The following is a 23,288-nucleotide window of genomic DNA, read 5'->3' on the forward strand; positions in this document are numbered from 1 at the left end:
TTGAAAAGAGAAGTTGAAATAGAGATTAGGTATTTTTGTTGAGGTCTTTTGTGGGGGCAGCAAACAAATGCTGGCAGGCAGGAGAAGTGGGGCCAATAACATTGACATTATTGAGAATTATTACTGCATATAACTGAAATTGTAGTCTACCTGACCATAAACGATTGCCCAAGAATGGGTCACCAACAAAGGTGAGTCAATGTATAGACTGACAATGGCAAATAATTATCTGGTATGAAAGAAGTGACTTGCAGAGATGATGGCAGTAATTGGACCAATCTTAGAGTCTTTCCAAAAGCATTTGAATCAGAAACATTGAACCAGAAATAGTTGAGATGCTGGTAGAAACAGAAAAGGCTCAAAAACATACTAAGTCAAACAGAATCAGATAATATAACTTAATGATTTTTAATAGCAGTTCACAGTGACTAGAAGAATCAACAAAATCCCATTTTTACCAAGTAGACTCTAGGCTGTCTCAGTCACCTTAGCAATGGTGGATTCTAAAGAACTGCTCAGATTTTGTGAGACTCAATTTCAAATTTCTTACCGTGTTTTCCTGAATTTACTATTTAAAAGGCAATGCATTCACATGGTGCACAATCCCAAGGGTGCAACAGGATTTACAGTAAAAATCTTCCTGCTGCCCCCACTCCCAAGTACCTAGTTTTTCACTCTGAGGCAACAGCTTATCAGTGGTCTGCATACACTTCTAGAGTAATTGTGTGTATTAAACCGATACGTGTATAAAAGTATGTATGGGTGTATATGTGCCCACATGAACATGCTTTTATCAAAAAACATGGAAATTAATTTATGCCAGTGCATAAAAAACTTCCTCATTATTTTCTTTAGCAGTGGATGCAACATGGTGTAACCATGTCCCATCTTGATGGACATGGGATTATTTCCTATCTTTGGCTTTTTTACATAAAACTGCAGTGAGGAACTTTACATCCAAGTCGTTTTGCATGCACAAAGTTTATCTACATAATGTATTTCAGAAGTTAAATTCCAGAATTAAATGAGCAGGTGTTTATAACTCTGACAGGTGTTGCCAAATGACTTTCCACAGTGGTTGTAAAAAGTTACATTTCTATGAAAGTTGTTTCCCCACATCCTAGAAAACAGAGTTCACGATCAAATAGTATTTTTAAGTATTTGCCTATCAAAAGGTAATATGTATCTCAATATAGGTTTAAATCATAATTATCTTATTATGAGAGCAGCTAGGAATATTTTCACATACTTAAGAGCCACTCCTATTTTATGTTTATAAAATATTTATATCTTCTTTGGGTTGTTGATCATTTTCCTTATCAAGTGTAGTGCCCCTTTCTATGAGACAGAAATTAGCTTTTTGTCTAATATTCATTGTAAATACTTTTAAACTGTTTTCTCTTTGTTTGTATTTCTTCATGATGCATTTTTCTGTGAAAGAAGATTTCACATGTGTGTCTGTGTACATGTGTGCACGCTTGGTAGTTGAATTTGTTAAAATGTTTCTTTAATATGACTTCCAGGTTATGTGTAATATCTAGAAAGGTCTTTCTTATGCAAAATTATAAAACAATTATTTTCCATTTTAAAAACACTTCTATTTACCTTTTTTATAGTTAAATCTCTAATTCATTTTTAAATAACCAGTGTCTAAGATGTGAAAAGCTAATCTAATTTATCTGATTTTTTCTTCTTTCCCAGAATGAATATCTGGTTTTCCCAATACTCATTAAATTCAATATTTCCAACTGATTTGAAATATTTTGTTTATCATATACTAAATTTTGATATTTTCAGAACTCTCTCTTCAGTTTTTATTTGGTTCCATTTAATTTGTTCATTCATTGGTAATAAACTGTCTTAACTTGTGTAACTAATTCATGTATATTAATATAACTTTATAATATATTTAGTCCTCTCATTTCATTTATTATAGCTAATTTTTTAACATGAAATTTAGAATCTCAACTGTGCATTATGGATCAGCTCCATTTCCTAACCAAGGAATAAAAGTTTAGTAATGACACATCTATGAGAAAAACTTGCTCAAATATTTATGTTTCTTCTCTCTCTCCCTCTATATATATATAAAGATATATATATAGTTGATATATATATGGTTGACATATATATAGTTTGTATCTATGTATCTATCTGTCTATCTATCTATCTCTCTATCGATAGATAGATATCTTTCTATCTATCGATAGATAGATAGATATCTTTCTGTCTCTCAGCAATGGTAAGCTCTCTCCTTTCCCTGGCTCCAAAGTTCTCAGTTTGATACAGTTTTGGTATTTGTCTCCACCCAAATCTCATGTTGGATTACAATCCCCAGTGCTGAAGGCAGGGGATGGTTGAAAGCGTTTGGATCCTGGGGGTGGATCTCTCATGGCTTGGTGCTGTCTTCGTGATAGTGTGTGAGTTCTTGGTCATTTAAAAGGGTGTGGCACCTCCCCACCCCCACTCTCTTTGTCCATTACGCCTGCTTTTGCCAAGTGACACGCCCACATCCTAGAAAACAGAGGTCATTATTAAACAATATTTTTAAATATTTGCCTATCAAAAAGCAATATGTACATCATTATAGTTTTAAATCATAATTCTCAATAAATTCCACCATGATTGTGATTGTAAGCTTCCTGAGGCCTCCCTAGAGGCTGAGCAGATGCTGGCACAGTGCCAGCAGTAAAGCCTGCAGAACCATGAACCAATTAAATATCTTTATAAATTACCCAGTCTCAGGTATTTTCTTTACAGCATTGCATGAACAAACTAATTAATACATAATATTTGTACCGAGAAGTGGGGCATTGCTGTGAAGATACCTGAAAATGTGGAAGTGACTGAAATTAGGTAACAAGCTGAAGAAGCAAATGCAAGGGGTTTGAGTCAACAGGAAAACTCTGCGGAATTCTTTAAAGACATCGATGTGACTAGTTGTACAACACCTATGATGGAAGAGTAGAAGGTAAGGCTGGAGAAATAAACAGAACAGTTTTGAGAGCCTTCAATAACATAATTTATCAGAGAAGTACTCTTTTTTTTTTTTTTGTATATACTTTAAGTTCTAGGGTACATGTGCACAACCTGCAGGTTTGTTACATATGTATACGTATGCCACGTTGGTTTGCTGCACCCATTAACTCGTCATTTACATTAGGTATTTCTCCTAATGCTATCCCTTCCACATCCCCCCACCCCACAACAGGCCCCAGTGGGTGATGTTCCCTGCCCTGTGTCCAAGTGTTCTCATTGTTCAACTCCCACCTATGAGTGAGAACATGCGGTGTTTGGTTTTCTCTCCTTGTGATAGTTTGCTCAGAATGATTGTTTCCAGCTTCATCCATGTCCCTACAAGGGGCATGAACTCATCCTTTTTTATGGGTGCATAGTATTCCATGGTGTATATGTGCCACATTTTCTTAGTCCAGTCTGTCATTGTTGGACATTTGGGTTGGTTCCAAGTCTTCGCTATAGTGAATGGTGTTGCAGTAAACATACGTGTGCATGTGTCTTTATAGTTGCATGATTTATAATCCTTTGGGTATATACCTAGTAATGAGTTTGCTGGGTCAAATGGTATTTCTAGTTCTAGATCCTTGAGGAATCAACATGCTGTCTTTCACAGTGGTTGAACTAGTTTACACTTCCACCAACAGTGTAAAAGCGTTCCTGTTTCTCCACATCCTCTCCAGCACCTGTTGTTTCCTGACTTTTTAATGATCGTCATTCTAACAGGTGTGAGATCATATCTCATTGTGGTTTTGATTTGCATTTCTCTAATGACCAGTGATGATGAGCATTTTTTCATGTGTTTTCTGGCTGCATAAATGTCTTCTTTTGAGAAGTGTCTGTTCATATCCTTTGCCCACTTTTTGATGGGGTTGTTTGATTTTTTTCATGGAAATTTGTTTGATTTCATTGTAGATTCTGAATATTAGCCCTTTGTCAGGTGGGTAGATTGCAAAAATTTTCTCCCATTCTGTAGGTTGCCTGTTCACTCTGATGGTAGTTTCTTTTGCTGTACAGAAGCTCTTTAGTTTAATTAGATCCCATTTGTGTATTTTGGCTTTTGTTGCCATTGCTTTGGTATTTTAGTCATGCAGTCCTTGCCCATGCCTATGTCCTGAATGGTATTGCCTAGGTTTTCTTCTAGGGTTTTTATGGTTTTAGATCTCATATTTAAGTCTTTAATCCATCTTGAATTAATTTTTGTGTAAGGTGTAAGGAAGGGATCCAGTTTGAGCTTTCTTTATGTGGCTAGCCAGTTTTCCCAGCACCATTTGTTAAATAGGGAATCCTTTCCCCATTTCTTGTTTTTGTCAGGTTTGTCAAAGATCAGATGGTTGTAGATGTGTGGTGTTATTTCTGAGGTCTCTGTTCTGTTCCATTGGTCTATCTCTCTGTTTTGGTACCAGTACCATGCTGTTTTGGTTACTGTAACCTTGTAGGATAGTTTGAAGTCAGGTAGCATGATGCCTCCAGCTTTGTACTTTTCGCTTAGGATTGTCTTGGCAATGCAAGCTTTTTGGTTCCATATGAACTTTAAAGTAGTTTCTTCCAATTCCGTCAAGAAAGTCATTGGTAGCTTGATGGGGATGGCATTGAATCTATAAATTACCTTGGGCAGTATGGCCATTTTCACAATATTGATTCTTCCTATCCATGGGCATGGAATGTTCTTCCATTTGTTTGTATCCTCTTTTATTTAATTAAGCAGTGGTTTGTAGTTCTCCTTGAAGAGGTCCTTCACATCCTTTGTAAGCCGGATTGCGAGTTATGTTATCCTCTTTGTAGCAATTGTGAATGGGAGTTCACTCATGATTTGGCTGTTTGTCTGTTATTGGTGTATAGGAATGCTTGTGATTTTTGCACATTGATTTTGTATCCTGAGACTTTGCTGAAGTTGCTTATCAGCTTAAGGAGATTCTGGGCTGAGACAATGGGGTTTTCTAAATATACAATCATGTCATCTGCAAACAGGGACAATTTGACTTCCTCTTTTCCTAATTGAATACCCTTTATTTCTTTCTCTTGCCTGATTGCCCTGGCTAGAACTTCCAATACTATCTTGAATAGGATTGGTGAGAGAGGGCATCCCTGTCTTGTGCCAGTTTTCAAAGGGAATGCTTCCAGTTTTTTCCCATTCAGTATGATATTAGCTGTGAGTTTGTCATAAATAGCTCTTATTATTTTGAGATATGTTCCATCAATACCTAGTTTATTGGGAGTTTTTAGCATGAAGCGCTGTTGAATTTTGTCGAAGGCCTTTTCAGCATCTATTGAAATAATCATGTGGTTTTTGTCATTGGTTGTGTTTATGTGATGGATCACGTTTATTGATTTGCATATGTTGAACCAGCCTTGCATTCCAGGGATGAAGCCAACTTGATCGTGGTGGATAAGCTTTTTGATGTGCTGCTGGATTTGGTTTGCCAGTATTTTACTGAGGATTTTTATATTGATATTCTTCAGGGATATTGGTCTAAAATTCTCTTTTTTTGTTGTGTCTCTGCCAGGCTTTGTTATCAGGATGATGCTGGCCTCATAAAATGAGTTAGGGAGGATTCCCTCTTTTTCTATTGATTGGAATAGTTTCAGAAGGAATGGTACCAGCTCCTTGTTGTACCTCTGGTAGAATTCGGCTGTGAATCTGACTGGCCCTAGACTTTTTTTGGTTGGTAAGCTATTAATTATTGCCTCAATTTCAGAGCCTGTTATTGGCCTATGCAGGGATTCAACTTCTTCCTGGTTTAGTCTTGGGAGGGTGTATGTGTCCAGGAATTTATCCATTTCTTCTAGATTTTCTAGTTTATTTGCATAGAGGTGTTTTTAGTATTCTCTGATGATAGTTCATATTTCTGTGGGATCAGTGGTGATATCCCCTTTGTCATTTTTTATTGCGTCTATTTGATTCTTCTCTCTTTTCTTCTTTATTAGTCTTGCTAGCAGTCTATCAATTTTGTTGATCTTTTCAAAAAACCAGCTCTTGATTCATTGGTTTTTTGTGTCTCTATTTCCTTCAGTTGTGCTCTGATCTTAGTTATTTCTTGCCTTCTGCTAGCTTTTGAACGTGTTTGCTCTTGCTTCTCTAGTTCTTTTAATTGTGATGTTAGGGTGTCAGTTTTAGATCTTTCCTGCTTTCTCTTGTGGGCGTTTAGTGCTATAAATTTCCCTCTACACACTGTTTGAATGTGTCCCAGAGATTCTGGTATGTTGTGTCTTTGTTCTCATTGGTTTCAAAGAACATCTTTATTTCTGCCTTGACTTCATTATTTGCCCAGTAGTCATTCAGGAGGAGGTTGTTCAATTTTCATGTCGTTGTGCAGTTTTGAGTGAGTTTGTTAATCCTGAGTTTAATTTGTTTGCACTGTGGTCTGAGAGACAGTTTGTTGTGATTTCTGTTCTTTTACATTTGCTGAGGAGTGCTTTACTTCCAACTATGCGGTCAATTTTGGAATAAGTGTGATGTGGTGCTGAGAAGAATGTATATTCTGTTGATTTGGGGTGGAGAGTTCTGTAGATGTCTATTAGGTATGGTTGGTGCAGAGCTGAGTTCAAGTCCTGGATATCCTTATTAACCTTCTGTCTTGTTGATCTAATATTTACAGTGGGGTGTTAAAGTCTCCCATTATTATTGTGTGGGAGTCTAAGTCTCTTCATAGGTCTCTAAGGACTTGCTTTATGAATCTGGGTACTCCTGTATTGGGTGCATATATATTTAGCATAATTAGTTCTTCTTGTTGAATTGATCCCTTTACCATTATGTAATGGCCTTCTTTGATCTTTGTTGGTTTAAAGTCTGTTTTATCAGAGACTAGGATTGCAACCCCTGCTTTTTTTTGCTTTCCATTTGCTTCATAGATCTTCCTCCATCTCTTTAATTTCAGCCTATGTGTGTCTGCATGTGACATGGGTCTCCTGCATACAGCACACTGATGGGTCTTGAATCTTTATCCAATTTGCCAGTCTGTGTCTTTTAATTGGGGCATTTAGCCCATTTACATTTAAAGTTAATACTGTTATGTGTGAATTTGTTCCTGTCATTATGATGTTAGCTGGTTGTTTTGCCCGTTAGTTGATGCAGTTTCTTCCTAGCATCGATGGTCTTTACAATTTGGCATGTTATTGCAGTGGCTGGTACCAGTTGTTCCTTTTCATGTTTAGTGCTTCCTTCAGGAGCTCTAGTAAGGCAGGCCTGGTGGTGACAAAATCTCTCAGCATTTGCTTGTCTGTAAAGGATTTTATTTCTCCTTCACTTATGAAGCTTAGTTTGGCTGGATGTGAAATTCTGGGTGGAAAATTCTTTTCTTTGAGAATGTTGAATATCGGCCCCCACTCTCTTCTGGCTTGTAGAGTTTCTGCCGAGAGATCAGCTGTTAGTCTGATGGACTTCCCGTTGTGGGTAACCTGATCTTTCTCTCTGGCCGCCCTTAACATTTTTTCCTTCATTTCAACCTTGGTGAATCTGACAGTTTTGTGTGTTGGGGTTGCTCTTCTCAAGGAGTATCTTTGTGGTGGTCTCTGTATTTCCTGAATTTGAATGTTGGCCTGCCTTGCTAGATTGGGGAAGCTCTCCTGGATAATATCCTGCAGAGTGTTTTCCAACTTGATTCCTTTCTCCCCGTCACTTTCAGGTATACCAATCAAATGATTTGGTCTTTTCACATAGTCCCATATTTCTTGGAGGCTTTGTTCATTTCTTTTTTACTCTTTTTTCTCTAAACTTCTCTTCTTGCTTCATTTCATTAATTTGATCTTCAGTCACTGATACTCTTTCTTCCACTTGATCGAATCGGCTACTGAAGTTTGTGCATGTGTCACGTAGTTCTCGTGCCATGGTTTTCAGCTCCAGCAGGTCATTTAAGCTCTTCTCTACACTGTTTATTCTAGTTAGCCATTTGTCTAATCATTTTTCAAGGTTTGTAGCTTTCTTGCTATGGGTTCCAACATCCTCCTTTAGCTCAGAGAAGTTTGTTATTGCTGATCTTCTGAAGCCTACTTCTGTCAACTTATCAAAGTCATTCTCCATCCAGCTTTGTTCCTTTGCTGGCGAGGAGCTGCAATCCTCTGGAGCAGAAGAGGCACTCTGCTTTTTAGAATTTTCAGCTTTTTTGCTCTGGTTTGTCCCCATCTTTGTGGTTTTATCTACCTTTACTGTTTGATGATGGTGACCTACAGTTGGAGTTTTGGTGTGGATGTCCTTTCTGTTGATGTTGATACTATTCCTTTCTGTTTGTTAGTTTTACTTCTAATAGTCAGGTCCCTCAGCTGCAGGTCTGTTGGAGTTTGCTGGAGGTCCACTCCAGACCCTGTTTGCCTGGGTACTACCAGCGGAGGCTGCAGAACAGCACAGCAAATATTGCTGCCTGATCCTTCCTCTGGAAGCTTTGTCTCAGAGGGGCACCCGGCTTTATGAGCTGTCAGTCAGCCCCTACTGGGAGGTGTCTCCCAGTTAGGCTACACAGGGGTTAGGGACCCACTTAAGGAAGCAGTCTGTCCGTTCTCAGAGCTCAAACACCATGCTGGGAGAACCACTGCTCTCTTCAGAGCTATCAGACAGGGACGTTTAAGTCTGTAGAAGTTTCTGCTGCCTTTTGTTCAGCTATGCCCTGCCCCCAGAGGTGGAGTCTACAAAGGCAGGCAGGCCTCCTTGAGCTGCAGTGGGCTCCGCCCTGTTCAAGCTTCCAGGCCACTTTGTTTACCTACTTAAGCCTCAGCTATGGCGGACACCCTTCCCCCAGCCAGGCTGCTGCCTTGCAATTTGATCTCAGACTGCCACGCTAGCCTTGAGCAAGGCTCGTGGGCATGGGACCCACTAAGCCAGGCACGGGATATACTCTCCTGGTGTGCCATTTGCTAAGACTGTTGGAAAAGCACAGTATTGGGGTGGCAATGTCCCGATTTTCCAGGTACAGTCTGTCATGGATTCCCTTGGCTAGGAAAGGGAAATCCCTCAAACCCTTGGACTTCCTGGGTGAGGTGATGCCTCGCCCTGCTTTGGCTTGCCCTCTGTGGGCTGCACCCACTGTCCAACCAGTCCCAATGAAATGAATCAGGTACCTCAGTTAGAAATGCAGAAATCACCTGTCTTCTGCATTGATCATGTTGGGAGCCGCAGACCAAAGCTGTTCCTGTTTGGCCATCTTGGAAAGGACCCCCCAGAGAAGTACTCTTATTATGCACTGTATTCTATGTCCGACTAATTCCCTTTGGTTGCCACACATAAAACTTACTAGTGTGTGCGGTGGGTTACAGTTTAAAATTATCTTCACATGCTTCTTACCATTAATTCTCAAAACAACCATATTTTATGTAAGAATAAACTATCTTAGAGAGGCTAAGGTACGTAGTTTTCTAGTAACTGATAATGGCAGGATTTGAACACAAATCTTCTGGATACCAAATCCCCATTGCACTTGTGTTTCCCAAGAATGCTTGGCTCATTGTGTTCATTTCCTAGGGATCTGTGAGAATTTAAACTTCACAGATAATTTAGGGTATCTGGTGGAAAAAAATTCTAAGAACCAAAACATTTCAATGTGACTTGGTTGCTTCTAACAACCTAACTTCAGATGAGGGTACAAATAAATAACTTAAAGTTGAAACTTATATTTAAAAGGGAAGCAGAGCATAAAAGTTTAGAAAATTTACAGCCTGGTCATGTGGCAGAGAAAGAAAAAGCTTTTACTGGAGCAACCATTTGCTAGAGAAAGTTGCATAACTAAAAGGGAGCCAAGTGCTGATAGCCAAGATGATAGGAAAAAGGCCTTGAAGGCATTTCAGAGACCTTTGCAGCAGCCCCTCTCATCACAGTCCTGAATGCCTAGGAGGGAAGAATGGTTTTGTGGGACAGGCCTAGGGCCTTGCTTCCCTGCACAGTCTCAGGACAATGTTCCCTACATCCTGGCTGTTCCAGATCCAGCCTTGGCTCAAACGGGCCCAGGTATAGCTTGGTCCATAGCTCCAGAGGGTGCATGCTGTAAGCTTAGGCAGCTTCTATGTAAAGTTAAGTTTTCAGGTACACAGAGTGTAAGAGTTGAGCCTTGGTAGCCTCAGCCTAGATTTCAGAGGATATATGAGAAAGTCTCTGTGTCCAGGCAGAAGCCTGCTGTTGTGATGGAGCCCCTCACAGAGAGCCTCTACTAAGGGAGTGTGGAGGAGAAATGTGGAGTTGGAGGCCTCACACAGAGTCCCCACTGGGGCATTGCCTAGTGAAACTGTGGGAAGAAGGCCACCATCCTCCAGACCTGAGAATGGTAGATATACCAGTAGCTTGCACTCTGCATGTAGTAAAGGGGCAGTCACTCAACTCCAGCCTGTAAGAGCAGCCTTGGGGTATGCACTCTGAAAAGCCACAGGTGGAGCTGCCTAAGGCCTTGAGAGCCCACCTTCTGCACCCATTTTCCCTGGATGGGGGACATGTAGTCAATGGAGATGACTTTGGAGCTTTAAGACTTAATGACTGCCCCATGGGGTTTTGAACTTGTATGGGGCATGTAGCCCCTTTCTTTTTGATGACTTCTGTCTTTTGGAACAGGAATGTTTACCCAATGCCTGAACTCCCACTGTATCTTGGAAGCAACTAACTTATTATTTATTTATTTATTTATTTTTACAGCTCATAGGTAAAAGAAACTCATTTCCAGATAATACTGTGGATTTGGAACTTGGGACTTTTGGATTAATGCTGGAATGAGTTAAGATTTTGGGGGGACTACTGAGAAGAGATTATTATATTTTGAAATGTGAGGACATAAGATTTGAAGGGGGCCGGGGTGAAATGATACAGTTCAAATACATGACCCCATCCAAATCTCATGTTAAATTAGATTCTCCAGTGCTGTAGGTGTGGTCTGGAGGGAGGTATTTAGATTATGGGGGTGGATCCCTCGTAGCTTGGTGCTGTCTTTGTGATAGTGAGTTCTCATCAGATGTGTTCCTTTAGAAGTATGTGGCACCTCCCCACCCCAATCGCTTTCTTGCTCCTGCTTTTGCCAAGTGACACGCCTGCTCCCCCTCTGCCTTTTGCCATGACTGTAAGCTTCCTGAGGCCTTTCTAGACGGTGAGCAGATGCCAGCACCATGCTTCCTGTAAAGCCTGCAGAATCCTGAGCCAGTTAAATCTCTTTTCTTTATAAATTACCCAGTCTCGGATATTTCTTTATAGCAATGTGAGAATGGCCTAATACACAGTTCTTATAAGATTGATGACTAGGGAAAAACACAAGTGAGATGGAGATTTGGTGTTCAGAGCATTTGTGTTCAAATCCTGCCATTACCAGTTACTAGCAAACTAAGTAACTTAGCCTCTCTAAGGGAGTTTGCTTTTACACAAAATATAGTTGTTTTGAGAATTAAATGGTAGGAAGCCTGCAAAGATAATTTTAACCTGTAACCAGTTGCACATACTAGTCAGATTTATGTGTGATGACCAAAGGGAATTAATCAGAAAGATATAGTAGATAGTGCACAATGAGAGCACTTCTCAGATAAGTAATGTTATTGAGGGCTTTCAAAAGTGTTCTGTATCTTTCCCAAGCCTTGCTTTTATTTTTTTTAACTGAGATGGAGTCTCACTCTGTCACCCAGGCTGGAGTGCAGTGGTACAGCCTTGGCTTACTGCAACCTCTGCCACCCATGTTCAAGCAATTCTCCTGCCTCAGCCCCTCGAGTAGCTGGGATTACAGGTGCCTGTAATAACTGTCATCAAGAAAATTTTCACAACTCGTATATACCCCATAAATGCTAACTTTAGAATCCAGTATTTTAAAATCACACAGTGTAAAGTTTTTAATATATATATACATTTTTTTAAAACAAATGAGAATGCAGAGAATAATGGGTTTCAATACAGTTTACCTTTGGGAGTACTTTATTCCTCAATTTGTCTATTTTATGTATACTCACATCTGGTTGGTGCTAATAAAAAATGAATTTCATATTTCTTCTTCGTCATTAAAAATACCTAAATAGTTTTTCTAACTTTTAAATTTTATATATCATTGCTTTCTAGTATCACAGGAAATTGTGTGCGTGTGTGTGTGTGTGTGTGTGTGTGTGTCAGAGAGGGAAAGAGAGAGAGAGCAAGAGATTCTGTCATCAGATGCTCTAGATCCTATCTCCACTGTAATGAAGCTTCAGCAAAATTTGAAAGGCCTGTGTGTTTTTGTTTTAATAAATTCATCCCTGAGAAAATGAGTCAGACTAAATAAAAAGTGGGGCAGTGAAGGAGATTCAGAAAGATAATAGCCCAGTATGCCAAGAAGATATAAGCATGGCTGAGCCAATTCATTCTCTGGTGTTTCTTAATTTTCCTTGTGACTTCTAATAATATACCTATTTATTGATACAGACCCCAGAGATATGAATAGAAACACCATTTTAAAATATATTTGTATGGTTGTTGTAAACATGCAGTCTCTGTTACCCTTTGTAATGCTTACAAAAAAAGTCATTTAAATTGTGGTATTTTTGTAAAGTGCACCTATAGCAAATGACAGAGCCAGTCTGAATTATAAATCCATTTAAGCACTCAATCATCAAAATTAGTAATGCTGAGAAATGGGGCACGTTGAAGAAATAGGCTAGATTTAGAATGAGTTAGATAAGATGATATGACTTAAAAGGAAGAGTGACTCAGGACCACAAAGTTAGGTTTACTCTTAGGCTAACTCAACCACCAAAGGGTATACTATTTGCCACCTAAGAATTGGGTACGTTTATGCTCTTACCGCATTGATTTTCAACCAAGCCATGGGTCACTTAACAACATCTGGACACATTTCTGGTTGTCACAACTGAAAGGAGGTGCTATTGGCATTTAGCGGGTAGATGCCAAAGATGTTACTAAACATCCTGCAATCACAGGACAGCTCACACAGCAAAGAATTATTTGCCCCAAAGTGTCAATAGTGTCATGGTTGAGAAATCCTGCTTTACAGGAATTCTCAGGAAGTATTTTTTTTATATTGGGCAATGTTGTTATTAACTGAAAAGGCACCTTGGTTACTGTGGTTTTAACTGGAAAATTACATTTAGTTGGATTATTACCATGTTGAAATATTAATGACTTGGTGACATAATAAAAATAACACTACAAACATTTTTAAGAGTCATTAATTATAAAGAGTTTAGGAAGTTACCAAAACCCTTACAGCTGATATTTAGTACTGCATGTTCCAGTTTGCTAATGCTACAATATAACATCTGATAAAACTCTAATTATGAAACAGTTTTACAATAAAATTTCATATGAGCATTTCACTGTTATTATTTTTCACACAATAAGCCCATTTTCTTTTTAGGTGAAGTATTAATTATAAATTAACTAACTGAGTTGTGATTATTTAGGCCCTCCCTTTTACTGGAAAACAAAACTTACAGATTGATAATCATTATTAAAAAACACCATTTGTACTGCTCAGAATTTAAAGTGAACTGGCCGGGCACGGTGGCTCACGCCTGTAATCCCAGCACTTTGGGAGGCTGAGGCGGGTGGATCACAAGGTCAGGAGTTCGAGACCAGCCTGTCCAAGAGGGTGAAACCCCGTCTCTACTAAAAATTAGCCGGGCATGGTGGCAGGCGCCTGTAGTCCCAGCTACTCGGGAGGCTGAGGCAGGAGAATTCCTTGAACCTGGGAGGCGGAGGTTGCAGTGAGCCGAGATCGTGCCACTGCACTCTAGCCTGGGTGACAGAGCGAGACTCCGTCTCAAAAAAAAAAAAAAAAAGAAAAGAAAAGAATTTAAAGTGAACCTAAATCACAGGAGTTCCTCTCTAAGAAAAACCTGGTCCTTGAAATTCACAAAAAGAATAAATAGTATATAATTTCTATCCTTCTTAATATATTTTAGGTCCTCTGAATCTGTTTACCTCTAAGTATTCTCTGCTTGAACAAAGGAAGCTTGACATGGTTTGGGTCTGTGTCCCTGCCCAAATCTCATGTCCAGCTGAAGTCCCCAGTGTTGGAGGTGGGGTCTGGTGGGAAATAATTGGATCATGGGGGTGGATTTCCCTTTTGGCTCTGTTCTCGTGAGAGTGAGTTGTCACAATGCCTAGTTGTTTAAAAGCGTGTAGCACCCCTCGCCTCTTCTTCCTGCTCAGTCAAGTAAGACCTGCCTGCTTCCCCTTCACCTTTTGCCATGATTGAAAATTTTCTGAGGTGTCCCTAGCCATGATTCTTGTACAGCCCGAAGAACCATAAGCCAATTAAACCTCTTTTCCTTATAAATTACTAGTCTCAGGTATTTCTTTATAGCAGTGCAAGAACAGACTAACACAGAGCTTTAAAAGGATTTGAATATATTTTAGCTAGTTCTTACAACTATAACCTTAGCCATATTAAATAAAATGCCATCTTTAATTACCAGAAAATACATGGTAAATTATAAACATAACAACAATAATGCTTAATGCATACCAAATATCGGGGTTCCTACCAAAGGGTGTGTCTTCATATGGTTTGTTTTGGCAAAAAACATAGTACCCAGCTTAAATACACTGAAGTTCTGACAAATATTGTGAACAGAAAATACATAGAAAGATAGATGTTTTCAGCAAATGTGCACGGAAACTGGGTATTATATAACTCATCTGTGATTTTATACTTAAAACCATATAAGTTTGAGGTATACTCAGTATTTATCTCTGTGAATAACTGACTTTAGAAAAACAAAATATCATTTCCTTCTGGATCATAAAATACCATCTGTTCATGCCTGTCTAAAGATCATAGATCCATCAGGTAAATGTAAAGAAAATATCATAACCCAAGTTTCCACTTTTATGTAATAACTCCTACACTGATGAGCAGATTAATTCGCCAGGCTAATTCACCATTTCCTTTCACTCAGGGCTCTTGACAAATCTTATTATTGACTATGTAAATTCATACGTGTTTTTAAAAATTTTGATGTTCTCAAGGTACTGGCCTTATAAATATTTTTTATATGTTGAAGAATGACTCCCAGATGTCTTAAGGTAAATAAGGGGGGAAAAGAGAGATTTATATTCCATTTACTTTGCTTTGAGTCTTAGTAGAAGAATAAGCTAAAAAATATTTTTTATGTCTGTGGGACTAGGTATGAAAAAATATTTTTTATGATAAAACCATTCAATACTACTCTTATCCATATAGTTCCACATCAGTTCTTCTCTTATATAGTATAATATCGTGGTAGTAAATTGTGTTTCAGTAACCCCAGAGTATATAATTTTCTGTGTTAAGGTCTCTCCTCACCTCATTATCATTTTCTAAATTTTTTGCCAAAGGGAAGTTCAGTTCCATATCTCTTGCTTTTCTTTTTGCTTATCTGAAAAAAACAATGAAAGTCATGGAGTTAGTTAGTATATTATGATGATTACCTGGAACTGAAAAACAGGTGGTCATTAGGTTATTTTTGTATATGAAACATTAACAAAGCAAATATACCAGTAAGTGGTCTTTATTATCCTTTAGACACCACTCTGTACCTAGGTGATCTCATTCTATTCATTCTATTCCTCGCCTTCCACAGGATTATAATGGGATACCCCAGGGCTGTGTCCCTGACCCCTCTCTTCTCCTTCCACACCTATACTTAGAAATTCTGTGTCCCATTCCCCAGGTTGCTTTCTCTCCTATTCACTCTTGGCCAGGAAAATTTTCCTATGGTTAGGTGTTACTATGTCCTGCCTTCAAGGGAATATATTTCCACTTAAAAAGAACATTTAGGGAGGCATAATATTAACCCAAAGAAATGTGTGACCCCCAAATTGGTAATTTCAGATTCTAGCATTTGACTAGCTCTAAGAAAGACAGAAAAAGTTCAAGGAACTTACAGTTTATAATATCTTCTGAGAATCTGCTAACTTTTACACATGTGTATCTCAATATTCTTTGACAACACGTGTCTGATGAGGAGTGGCAGACCTTATGAGTCTGTCCTCTAACGAGAACCTTTTGGGAGTTTTTGCATTCCAATCATACTGAGTTTATACTAAACCTTCTCAGTAAGATTGATGCTTATATTTTATCACATATTTTCAGGCTAAAAAACAGGATCCTTTTAAATTTCAAGCTCCACTATATTTTTTCCTTATAAAGAACTGTCACAAATTATTGCTGTTTCTTACCAATAACTAAACAAACTGCTATGGACTGAGTTATACCCTGCCACCAATGTCATTTGTTGAAGTCCTAACTCCCAATGTGATGGTATTTGGAGATGGGGTCTTTGTAAAATAATTAGGTTTAGATGAGGTCATGAGGGCAGGGGGCCTCATGGTGAGATTACTGCCCTTCTAAGAGTAGACAACAGAGAGTTTGCTTCCTCCCTTTCTCTCTCTTTCTCTCCCTTTCTCCACTTTATGATACCATGAAATACCATGAAAAAGCAGCAATTTTCAAGCCAAGAAGAGCAGTTTCACTGGGGAACCAAATCGGCGGGCCTCTTGATCTTGGACTTTTAAGCCCTCAGGACTGTGACTGTGAGAAATAAATTTCTGTTGTTTAAGCCACCCAGTCTATAGTGTTTTTTATGACAGCCCAAGCTGACAAATACACAAATAAATAGAAAAATTAATAATGAATTGATCCCCTTCGTTGTCATTATAATGACAGTATCAGAAATAAAATACAAAATTTGGCCATAAGAACCCCATCCAAACAAATGAGCTCTTTTATTTTAGTGTAATTTTTACCAAGATAGGTTCTTTTTTTTTTTTTTTTTTTTTTTGAGACAGAGTTTTGCTCTTGTCATCCAGGCTGGAGGGCAATGGTGTGATCTCAGCTCACTGCAATCTCCACCTCCTGGGTTCAAGCGATTCTCTTGCCTCAGCCTCTTGAGTAGCTGGGATTATGGGCACCTGCCACCACGCCTGGCTAATTTTTGTATTTTCAGTAGAGATAGATAGGGTTTCACCATCTGGGCCAGGCTGGTCTCGAACTCCTGACCTCAGGTGATCCACCCGCCTTGGCTGCCCAAAGTGCTGGGATTACAGGAGTGAGCCACCGTGTCCAGCCCAAGATAGGTTCTTAATGCCTCAGTCTAAAGTCTTGCCCTGAGAGTACTGAAAATGTTAGCTATAAGAAGAGCTCTTATGACTTAATGGGCAACCTTGATCCATATGTGTTACTTCTCCTGGTATAGCTCACATATCTGTGAAAAGGTGGCTATGACATTGATATTCTATGAAAACTTGTAGTGAGCAAGCTGGTAAACATCACCTTTACCATGAGCAACACCAGACTGCTACAGTAAGCTATGTGTAAATCTTCAGAAGAGTACCTTGTTTGCAAGTGTTTATTTTATTTTAATGAGTTGTACTCTGAGTAGGACAAAAATCACCAATCAAAGACATCCTGCCGACTAAGATGAAAGAGATATAAAGAAAAAAATATTAAGCAATAAAACCACTAATGGCTAACAAATAGCACGCCTTGCTATGTTCTGTGACTGTTCCAAGTGACTGACAGATTATAACTCATTCAATCATGAAAACAACTCCATAGATGTTATGTACTCTTTTTATATATTATTGTAAGCTCCTACTTTAAGGATGAAGAAGGGGAGATTCAAAGAGATTAAATAACTTCCCTAGGACAGTTGGAGAGGTAATAGAAGAAAGAGATTTGAACCCAACACAAAATGGCTCCCAACTCTTTTATTTCAAGCATGAGATATGGCCTCACAACAATACCCTTCCCAGCTGCAGCAAAGGAGGTAAGATGACCTAAATGCAGCACAGAGGCTGAAGGAAACAGCCAACTCTGAAGCTAGCTAAGAAACATTTTTGTAGCCTACCTTCCAGTCATTATATGATCAGATACTGAGAAACCCTGAGCCTCACAGGCTCACTGCCACAGTAACAACGTGCACACAGCCAGCAGAATCATTATATTCAACAAGTGAGAATTCATCGAGCTGAATAATTTCATTGACTCTAGACCTGCTTCATGCTTCTTCATCATATTATTCTTAATTCCCTCAACAATGAAAATCATATCAATGGGCTATACCAATGCCAATATTTGAAGACTTTTACTTCCAGCTGTGTAAGAACTACACTTGAATCTGGTATGACTGACAATATCAGGCTCTAAATGAAATCATGAGGCCACCAAATTATTATGGTGCAACAAGGCCAAACACTAAACCATCAAATAATCTTGGAGGCATTTTGCAGCCAATCTAAACAGCTAATAAAATGAGATCATAGGTTTTCCAGAAAGTAAAGCTAGCCATCCCTGCCTGATTCTGATAAACACATTTCCATGTGAAATTTAGGGGAAGGAATTTAGAGTCTTCCCTAGGGACTGGGTTCACTCTTTAGCTGTCCCAATTTCAGACTCACCCAGTTATACTGCAGGGTGAGGTTGATGTTCTCTTAAAGCTGTTCGGCTCATCTCTCTGATGGCTTAGGGTTTTTTACCTTTCTAATTCTTCCAAATCTACATTAAAATGCCACATATGATTTTCATTTAAATGCCAACATAGGATTTATAAACATTATTGAGAAAGTTAAAGCGTAAAATTAAGAGAATACACACAAGATGAATCCAAACAAAAGAAGAGGAAAAAATAAAGAGATAATGAGAATGAGCAAAAGAGAAAATACACAGAAGGGAGAAATTGCAGCCACTGGATATGGAAAGAGTGGGAACAGATTTTAATTTACTCATGCATTTCTCATGAAGCTGTGGAAGATACGGTCCAAATGCTTAGTCAGACTGGGGCTGGAGAATACAGGTTCCTATGGGAACAGAAGCAGCTTACTGCCATGGTAGTCTGCATTCCAAATGTAAGTTGCAGTAGCAGACTTCTTTTCCTATTCAGAATATCATTTGTGCTCTCAGTCTCAATTACTGCACTCCAGAGAGCTGTGAAGAGCAAGCCTGCATCCTTAGCTCCTTGTTTCTTCCTGTCTTCCTAATTCAGATGTGTATTCTTTCCAACTGTTCGTCTTTTTTTTCTTCCCTGCAATTTATCAGGCTATTTCCTTTCCCTCAACATTCCTTAAACACAGTACAGTGTATATATTATGTCTAAAACACAATGCTGCACAAACGCAAAAGATCACCTTGTATTGGCCAAACTGCCCAACTATCACCAGACATGTGTACTGCCTCATCAGAAACACACTGCCTGTATTCATTTTGTTCTCATTGGTCCCTAAAGACAGATAAACAAATCAGAACCATTTTGAACTAAAGACAAATGAGCTCTCTTAGACTACAAATTATTTCTGTTGTCTATATAGACATTCTAATACATTGTGCCTTTTCATTACTAGGCTATTGTTAATTTTTTATTGTTATTTTTTACCTGACTAGTGAGATAATCTTGACATATTATTTTGCAGCTGTATTAAGGTTCTTAGATACTCAGTTATCTTCTCATGCTTGGAAGTGTTTATTAACTAAGAAATAATGGAGTCAGTATCCACTTTTTAAAACAATGTTTCTCAAAATAAAATCTGTATACCACGTAAAATAATCACTTCTGTGGTTATTAAAAATGATCATTATTCACCAACCAAATGATATGTAACTAAATACTGGCACGTCTATACAATGGAAGTCTATTTAGCCATAAATTATATTAGCAACTGATAAAATAAATATTTTACAAATATTGTGCTGAGTGAAAGAAATTGGATGCAAAAGAAGTACATTTTATATGATCCATTTATATCAGTTTCCTCATAGGAATACAGTGTTCACTTTGATCACCTAAGGAAACTATAAAGGGATTGTATAATATGCACTAAATTGGTTTGGGCATGGTGGCTCACACCTATAATCTCAGCACTTTGGGAGGCCGAGGTGGGTGGATCACCTGAGGCCAGGAGTTCAAGACCAGCCTGGCCAACATGGCAAAATCCCATCTCTACTAAAAATACAAAAACAGCCAGACGTGGTGGCATGCGCCTGTAATCTTAGCTACTTGGGAGGCTGAGGCAGGAGAATTGCTTGAACCTGGGAGGTGGAGGTTGCAGTGAGCTGAGATTGGGCCACTGCATTCCAGCCTGGGCAACAGAGTGAGACTCTGTCTGAAAAAAATTAATAAATAATATGCACTAAACTAAATTTGGTGATAGAAATCAGATCAGCAGTCACTCCTGGAAGGGGGATACTGAGTGGAAAGGAGCATGAGGAAGTTTTCTTGGGTGATGAAGATACTTTATGTCTTAATATATATTCACAAAAACTGATCAAATAAATAAGATCTTAATCTTTCGTTGTATTTAAACTATATCTCAGTTTTTAAAAATGCTGGTTCTTGTGTCCTATTACCTAAGCATCTGCATTTATGGCAACAGACTATTTTGAAGAATAACTTTAGATTTACAGAAAAGTTCCAAAGATAATACAGAGTTCCTATATACACTGGACCCAGTCTCCCCCAGTGTCAACTTTTACATTACTATTGCACATTTGTCATAACTAATGAACCAGTATTGATACACTGTTATTAAGCAAACTCTGTACTTTATTCTAAATTATTTAGTTATTTTTTTCTCATTGTCCTTTTTCTCTTAGGACCCCACCCAGAATACCATGCACTTAGTCATTATGCTTTCTTTAGCATCTCTCTACTATGACAATTTATTGGACCTCGTTGTTGTTTTTCATGACCTTGACAGTTTTGAGAAGCACTGGTCAGATATTTCATAAAATATCCCTCAGTCAAGGTTTGTTTGATGTTTTTCTCATGATTAGAGTGGGGCTATGGATTTTTGGGAGAAAGACCACTGAAGTGAAGTGTCATTCTTATCACACTAAAGCAGTGTTACATATGATCAACACAACATCACTTATAGTGTTCACCTGGATCACCTAAGAAGCATTTGCATTTTAAAACCAGTTCCTTGGATATTTCCTGTATTTACTAACTTTCAAAGTGCCATATTAAATTTTAACATTTCACAGAGCATTAAACAACTCCGTGTTTTAAGCTATAACACAACTCTCTGCTCAAAGCCATCTATTACTCCTCAGAAGAAATGTCCGCCATATCTCTTTAATATGTCTTGTACCTCTGTGTCAGGAGATAGGATGAGTGCCCTGCTTTTGACATGGGATGATCTATCCCTTTTCCCTAAAACTCTCAGTTCCTTTGAAGGTCACGCTACCCAATATGTTTATTGCCCAGTAACTCTCCTTTACTCAGTCATCCACAAGCCTTTGATTGCGCCTGACAATTCCTTAGAGATTTTAGTTCCCAACTGTTTCTTTTCCATAAATACGTATCTCATATTTTTCAGTGACATCAATATCCACATATGTGTTTCTTTCAATACATGTCCTCTCCATTTCTTGCCCCCATCTTTGGTGATCTTACCTCTGTTCCACCTCAACCATGGTCATGGCTAAACTTCATTAGTAACAATTTTATCCAATCCAAAATTTCCAGTTTTTATCACCCCATCAAACACATCTGTTCTCTATGACATACTATTCTTCTATCCTCTTTTGAGTACTCTGATTCCTAAAACTCTTTTCCTGTTTGTAAAAATAAAAAAAAAACAGAACAACAACAACAGAAATAACAACAAAAACCACACCACTTCTAGTCAGTCGTTTCTGCTAGCAATTTATCACCATGAGTCTCACTGAAGCCCTCACTCTCTTCCTTACTTTCCTTAGCTTCTATGGCCTAATATTAAAATATTCCTTCTATCATTGCCACATGGCCAACCTTAATCCTGTTTAGAACTAACTCTTTTCCTATCTTGCTCCTGAAATATAGCAGCTAATCACAAATGGTGGCAAAAGGCATAACATGTTTGCTGTGATCACATTAATTTCATAACCACACTCATTAAGGGGGCCTTAGTGTGGCTCCGTCATCCCTCTTCATTTTCACTTATCCAGTCCCATGGGAAATTATTTTATTTTATGTTTCCATTGCCTTTGATTGAGGAAGTAGAAGTAACTAGAGGAAGATTCTTGCATGCTTCCACCACTGTATAGAGCAACATCATTATCCATATACCTTACCTGAATATCAAGGCAAACCCACCTATTTAAGTACTAAATCCATCCACTTCAGTGTACTCAAGGCCAATGCTCTTGCTATGGCTTACTTTGTCTCTTGCATCATCATTTTTTTCACTAGTGGTCTGTTTCTATTAGTATATAAACACAAACTATCTTGAAGAAATCTTCCCTTGATTCTATATCCCTTCACATAGTCTCTGTCCCACTTTTCTCCTCTACAGAGAAGAGTTTTTGCAGTCACAGTTTTTCTTTCTCCTCTTCCCATTCCCTCTTGGACCCACTCTGTTCAGGCTTGTGTTCTTGCTGTGCCATGGGGGCTGCTCTTCGCAAGGGCACAAAAATCCTCTGTATTATATTGTCTAGTGGTCATTTATTAGACTTCCAATTTAACCAAATAGTGTCATTTACACACACGTTATTCACACGTTATTACTTGAAACAACTTCTTTACTTCACCTTCATAATACCAACCTTGTTTTTCTACACACCTCACTGGCTGCTCCTTCTCAGCCTCCTTTGATAATTCCTCTGCACCTCCCAGATCTTTAAACACGGGTATGTTTCAGGACTCAGTTCTCTCACACAGGTGATCTCTTTGTATTCTGCAGCTTTAAATGTGACCACTAACTTTAAAATTCCTAAATTTATATTTCCAGTGTGAATTTCTCTCTGGAACTGGAAATGCATATCTTCATTTCTTGATATCTCTATTTAGATATCCAATATGCATCTGTAAATGAAAAATTGCACCAGATAAGTTAAATGGGAAATGAAGACTTTATTCAAGACTATTGCAATAAAGGAAAAAGATTGAACTCAACTCTGATAAAACAAAAGGTGAGAGAGTTTCAATCACAGAAGTGAGCTAATGGAAGAACAGTGGAAAACTGACATCAGGGGAAAGGTTGATCCAGGTGATTAGTACATCATTTTTTGCAATTGGTGCTTATTGAAGTTAGACTCCTCCCCTCCCACAGAGACTAAGAAATACAGGTGCTTGCTTGCTTTCTTCTTTTAAAGTTTTATTTTGGTTTCAACTGACATGTAATAATTGCGTGTGTGTGTTTGTATATACATATATATGTGTATGTGTATGTGTATACATATATGCCTATAGTCATATACATACTTATGGTACATTTAAGAAACTGTAATGTTTCAATACATGTATACATTGTGTAATCATCAAATCAAGGTAATTAGCATATCCATCACCTCTAACACTTGTCATATCTTTGTGGTGAGAAAATTCAAAATCCTTTTTTCTAGCTATTTTGAAGTATATAATACATTATTCTTTAC

The 23,288-nt window shown here is 38.3% G+C and overlaps 1 long non-coding RNA gene across 1 annotated transcript in view; it reads right to left on the reverse strand.

Annotated features, from left to right (window-relative positions):
* Positions 1 to 23,288, reverse strand: part of MACC1-OT1 (MACC1 3' UTR overlapping transcript 1) — a 221,446-nt gene that overhangs the window by 26,699 nt on the left and 171,459 nt on the right. The window contains exons 4-5 of the long non-coding RNA NR_110114.1: positions 22,458 to 22,716; positions 15,243 to 15,315 (exon numbers count right to left, since the gene is read on the reverse strand). This is a non-coding gene — a long non-coding RNA (MACC1 3' UTR overlapping transcript 1). The remainder of the gene's footprint in view (positions 1 to 15,242; positions 15,316 to 22,457; positions 22,717 to 23,288) is intronic.

Source organism: Homo sapiens, chromosome 7 (assembly GCF_000001405.40).
Source record: "Homo sapiens chromosome 7, GRCh38.p14 Primary Assembly".
Lineage (NCBI taxonomy): Eukaryota > Metazoa > Chordata > Mammalia > Primates > Hominidae > Homo > Homo sapiens.